Below are 5,990 nucleotides of genomic sequence, written 5' to 3' on the forward strand. Positions count from 1 at the left end.
TAATTCTATCTCTGTATTAATATTTCTATTTGATGAGACATTATCATCATATCTTTCTTTACTTCTTCAATCACAGTTTTCTTTAGTTATTTCTGAACATATTTATAATGGTTGCTAGGAAATCTTTGTTAAATCTGATATCTGGTTGCTTTCACAGGCAGTTTCTGTTCCTGTTTTTTTTTTGTGTGTGTGTGTATGGATCACTCTTTTATTTCTTTTTATAGCTCTTAAGTTTCTCTGGGAAACTGGGCTTTTTAGACAATATATTGTCACATATCTGGCTACCGGTCATCCCCCTGCCCCTACCCAAGCTTGATACTGTTATTTACTTGTTTTGTTGTTTGGTGACTGGTTGGATTATTTTAGTGAATTCCCCCACCTGCCACAGTGTGAAGCCTCTGATGTTGCACCTTAAGGAGCGTTGCCTTGAGTGTACCCACAGTCATCCTGTAATGACAGTGGTTTTGGCGGGGCTCTCTTATCTATTTCTTTCTCTGACCACAGCTATCCGTTAAACTACGCTAATTCCTGGCTGATTGCTCTGTTGTTTTCAACAATGCCTTTTATGGAAAAACAAACCATGTTTTTCCTCTGCTCTTACACCAACACAACAACAATCAACACAGAAGACTTCTCTGACTCCTAAATACGTGGCTGTTTCTCCCCACCAGCAAGCAAGCAGTCAGTTCCGCAGTGGACACCAGCTAGGTGTCCTCCAACTCAATTCTGACGCTATTTATCTGGAGACAGTGTCAGATCCCACAGGTTGGGGGCTCAGTCCCCATAATTGCCTTGGCAGATTTGGGATTTGAATCCAGGCAGTCTTAGCTGTGAACCACCACACAAATCCACCTTTCTCCAAAGAATGGAGGCCTGAGCTCCCTTGTAACTTGGGGTAAATAATCTGGGCACATATCCTTGAGGAATAGCAGGACCAGAATGCTCTGCACAGGACTGGAAATGGCTGGGGGGAGGAAAACCAAGTCCCTGACAGTGTTGACCATTTCCTTCATCCTGTGAGGCAATGGGCTTGACCCTGCAATGTTCCCAGCACAAGTCTGAGGAGTGATGCAATAGAGAGTGGGTGAGTTGAGTAACCACTTGAAATTCCACTCCTCTCTTCCCTTTTCATAACAGGTGTCCTAACTTTCTGCCAAGCACACTCAGGTTTTCCATGTTCTGCTTAGAAGTTACCAACTGGCTGTTGGTTAGGCCTAGCAAATTATGTAGACTTCTTTTCGGCTAAGAATCATAGCAAGTTTATTCCCTCAGGGTAGGAAGGTCATATTTTTTCTTTAGGCTCCACCTTGGTCTTCCCTCGGAAGGGGAAATAGGAATTCTTTCTTCCTCAGGATGAGCTCGTATAAGGCCAGGCTCATTGATGATAAGAAGCAGAAATGGACTCAGCCTAAATTAAGACAAGGGAAGTGACAGGGCGGCCATGGCTGCCACAGGATGGAAGGGAAGGACTAGAACAGAGCTTAAACAGACAGGGGCCAGGCAGCTCAGATGGTTTTGGAAGCAGGGACGGTTCCACAGTCTTGCCTAGGTGCCATTACTGGGATGAATGAGCTTCCACCACTCCTTCTGTCCTTGTGTTTCTTACTCCATAGTCACATTCCTAGGAAAGCAAGTCCAAGCTTAGTTCTCATGCCTGCCTTTGGTTGCTGTAAGATGGCGAGAGGAAAGTCAGGCAGCGGCAGGGCACCTGGAAGACCCTTTTGTCTTAGGAATGGGATGGCGGATGCTGGGTTTACTCTCCACCAAGACTGTACAAAGTAGGTGCCAGATAATTCTCCAAAAGAAGATAGGCAGAGGAATAGGCAGTGCCAAATTCCCAGCACAGCTTGTGCTGGCAGGTGGGTACTGTCACTGTGGTACTTCCAAATAGGAAGAGATGTCTCTGACAGAATCAGGAACTGGATGGAGATTTACCCGTAGAAAAATGGTGACCTAAGTGAGATATGCTTTCCCCTTGCTCAGGCCGAAAACCCTGGGGTTCTTGCAACAGACTTCCAGCACGCCCCCCGTGGGTGCCTCTTGCCCTCTCCTGCCACTCATGGGAGCAGGACTGGTAGTATGAGGACACTAACAGGGGAAGTGACTGCCGTCATCTTGATTTCCTGTGTCTGAGCCTCTTATTCTGTGGTTAGATGGACACAAGGTCCCACAGTGGGGCCCCATTGCCCCCCTCTCACCCCCCTTTTTAGCCATGTTGAGTGGGTCTCTGTTTCTTGCTTCAAATGGAGCCTCTTGCTTCTCCAGCCCCAGATAGAGAGCCTGCACGCATGACTTTGTGCGTCTTTGTAAGCCCCACCAGGCCCTGGGTCGGGGAGATCTGAGTGTGAAGGGGCAGAGCCCGAGAACCTGCCCAGCTCCTTGCCTGGCTTGGGACCTCAATAAGCTCTGTCCACCCTCCACCCCAGGGATGACATTCCAAGTCCTGGGGGACCTGAGACCCACCCACCAGGAGCAGGTGTCCTGCGGCCTGGACCAGGTTTGGGCAGATTTGCTTGAATTCACTGTGGGTATTTCAAAAGTGTGCTTAGGGATGGGGCATTTCTTTTCTTTTTTTAAAGTTGTGGATTATTTCTCACATTTTGTATGAGGATCCTAATTCCGAAGTTGTTTTCTTTCTCCAACATGCTTGGGTCGTCTCATAAGGAACCCGCCTTAAAGGCAACGACACATATGCTGCCACCTAGTGGAGGAAAATGATCAGCTTCTACAACTGCGTAAAGTCACGAATCACTTAACCACAGAAATACAGATACGGTCTGAGAAACGCGTCTTTAGGTGATTTCATCGTTGTGCAAACATCATAGAGTGTACTCACACAAGCCTAGATAGTATCACACAAACCTAGATGGTATAGTCTACTTCACACCTAGGCTATATGGTATAGCCTATTTCACTGAGGCTACAACCCCCTACAGGGTGTTACTGTACTGATACCCTAGGCAATTGTAACATGCTAGTAAGTATTTGTGTCTAAACATATCTAAACATAGAAAAGGTACAGTAAAAATATGGTATCATAATCTTATGAAACCACTGTCATATATGTAGTCCATCTTTGACTGAAACGTCATTGTGTGGCACATAACTATGTGGAAAGAGAAATTGTATGGAAAGCTTCAGCGCTTCCAACCTCTTTCTTGTTTCCCTCACATCAACTGATATATGGGTCAACTTTTTATTAAAACAATTGGGTACTCATAGAAAATTTCACTTTATTTCCTAAACAATAGCTCATAAAAATGTGTACCATTTATTTAGGGTTTCCTATGTGCTAAACACTTTACGTACGTTCCCTCAATCCTCACTGCACTCCTATGAGCTACACATTGTTATTATTCCTATTTTGCAGATAAGGAAGGTGAGACTCAGAAAGATTAAATAACTTCCAACTTCCAGAGTTTACACACTTAACCAAGTCTGTCTTGCTTCACCTTTAACCTTAACAACATTTATTGACTAAAATTACACAAACATAAAAAAGGCATCCAAAATCCTGAAACTATCTCAAGTGCATTCCACAATTAATCAAATAAGTAAATATGTGGCAGAGAGTGAGAACCAGGTTTTTCACTGTTGAAAAAGCATAACAAATATGGAAAGGGGGAAGGTTAGAATACCCCCTATGGAGCTGGATTAGAATCAGAGGAATTGGTGTGAATGGATGGTTTATATACGTAGGTAGATATAGAAACTGTTATAGGTATATATATTAGGTAGATATAAAAACAGTTATAGTTATAGATATAACTATATATACATACACATACATATATAACTATAACAGTTTATCTACTATATATATGTGTTATAGGTATATATATTAGGTATATATATCAGCCATTAACTTCAGTGTTCATAGATGATTCTGTGGCCGGCAAGAACCATCAATGAACACTGAAGTTAATGGCTGCAAATGTGATGAGAAACAAAATATTTATATAGTCTCAAAGCCTCTTCACAAGAGACTTATTAATTGCAAAGGGAACAATAGCATAATAACTGTGCAGTGGACCAGTCTGGTAGGTACCACCTTTTCCAAGTGATCAAAGTTAAGATCACCAGGAACAAGATGTACCAGCATCCTGTGCCTCCTGCTGTGATGTACTGAGAAGGACTCACTGTCCCTTCTGTGGTGTTCTTGCCAAAAATGCGTAACTACAATCTAATAATGAGTAAACACTATACACACCCAAAGTGAGGAACATTCTACAAAATAATTGGCCACCACTCTTCAAAAGTGGCACCATCATGAAAGACAAAGACTGAGGAAGCTGTCCCAGATTGAATGAGACAACTCAGTGCAATGCAGGATCCTGGAACAGAAAAAGAACATTTGTGGGACAGTTGACAAAGTTTGAATAAAGTCTGGAGATCAGTTCACAGTATTGTATCAGTGTTCCTATCCTGGTTGTGAGAATTAGGATAATTATACGGTGCAGTGGTGCAGCTTTTTTTGGAAAGCTGGGTGAAGGGTATATAGTATTCTTTGTACCACTTTTGCAGTGTTTTCAAAGTCTAATATTATTTCAAAGCTAAAAACTAAAACAAGCTTACAATAAAAAATATGTAAGTAAAAATCCTTTAAAAAGACATGACAAAGTGTGTCAGATATTAGATTATCAAAAGCTAGGAACTCTCTGGGGCCAGAGCTCAAATTCTCTTGTTTTCAGTCTCTTTATCAAATGAAAACTTCTGTCTGCCTTCTACCTTTAGCATGACACAGAAGTAGAAAGAAGGGAAGTGTTTGGGCAAATGTTGAGCAACACACACACAGCAAATGCTCATTTGATGTTTTGGCTGAATCGTAGAACACAGTAGACTGTCTAAACCCTCTGTTCCTGTTCTGGAATGTTCTGATCATAGCTGCTGGCTTATGTCTATCTTATAGCGATCCCCAAAGCTGCACCCGGCGTGGTCCTGAGGATCACAGGACTTAGCATTTCCTGCTTCCACAATGCTGGCCCTTAAGGGATATACTTAGGGATCCAGAGGAAGCAGATTGTATCTGTTGAGTGCTTGAAATAATAATAGTGATGATGATTGATGATAATGATGATGATGATGATGATATCTAAGCTATCACATGCCAGGCACTGTTCCAAATGCTTCAATGCTTAAACCATCCCTGGGAGGAAGGGTCTGTTACTGCACACATTTACAGAGTGAGTGCATCGCTTAGGCTCTCTCGCTTCTCTACATGGCCCGTAAGTAGCGGAGCTGGGCTCTGACCCCACGCAGACTGCCTCTGGAGCCCACCTTCTGATGAATGAGAATGCACATGGGGCAGTGGGCTGAGTCATGGGACACATGCAAGGTGAGTTGGGGATTAGCCTCAACCCCTTTTGGCTTTGATAGAAATCCTTCTCAGAGACTCTCGGAACAGAGTGGTGGTAAAGCACCACCTGGGGCCTGTGGGAGGCCATTTTGGACCCAGTTCTCAGTTTCCAGGGCTGTAGATGTCCCTGGATGGGGCCAGCGCCTGGGGTCCCCCCACCACCCCACACCATACCAACTCTTGTTATTAGCCATTTATCTAGCCACTTAGCACTTTCTCTTGGAAGTGCCACGCTTTGGGACACTTGGAGGTTCTGACACGGGAGTTCCTGATAGTCTGCTTCTGGGTAGAGATAATCCTGATGACTGAGGTGCCTGAAACCCCTCCTGCTGCTGAGCTGAGCCCCGAGGTAGGACAAACACCCCTCTGGGCAAGTACAGAATGGAAACTGAAATAGAAATAAACTCCAACAAAAGCAAACTTCCTGGGGTTTTCCTCCTGCCTCCTCACACACACACCTCTGAAAGGTGTGTGTCTCAGAAGCAATGGCCTGGACCAGGAGTCCTGACCTTGCTGTGTGACTTTGAGCAAGGCCGGGCCCTCTTTAGGCTTCGGTGAACTCAGCTGTGAGTGAGGGGTAGGATTTGATGATTTCCAGCGTCTCTGCTTCCAGTGCCTTCACGTTATGGCACCC

At 44.1% G+C, this 5,990-nt stretch overlaps 1 annotated feature.

The window, feature by feature from the left end:
• Window positions 254–755: an enhancer, noted in NCBI's record as "NANOG hESC enhancer chr2:85932083-85932584 (GRCh37/hg19 assembly coordinates)". NCBI's record gives its function as "activates a minimal SCP1, AML or CMV promoter by ChIP-STARR-seq in naive and primed H9 embryonic stem cells {active_cell/tissue: H9 hESC(naive and primed)}" and the evidence as "EXISTENCE:reporter gene assay evidence [ECO:0000049][PMID:30033119]".

The sequence above is a fragment of the Homo sapiens genome, chromosome 2, assembly GCF_000001405.40.
Source record: "Homo sapiens chromosome 2, GRCh38.p14 Primary Assembly".
Lineage (NCBI taxonomy): Eukaryota > Metazoa > Chordata > Mammalia > Primates > Hominidae > Homo > Homo sapiens.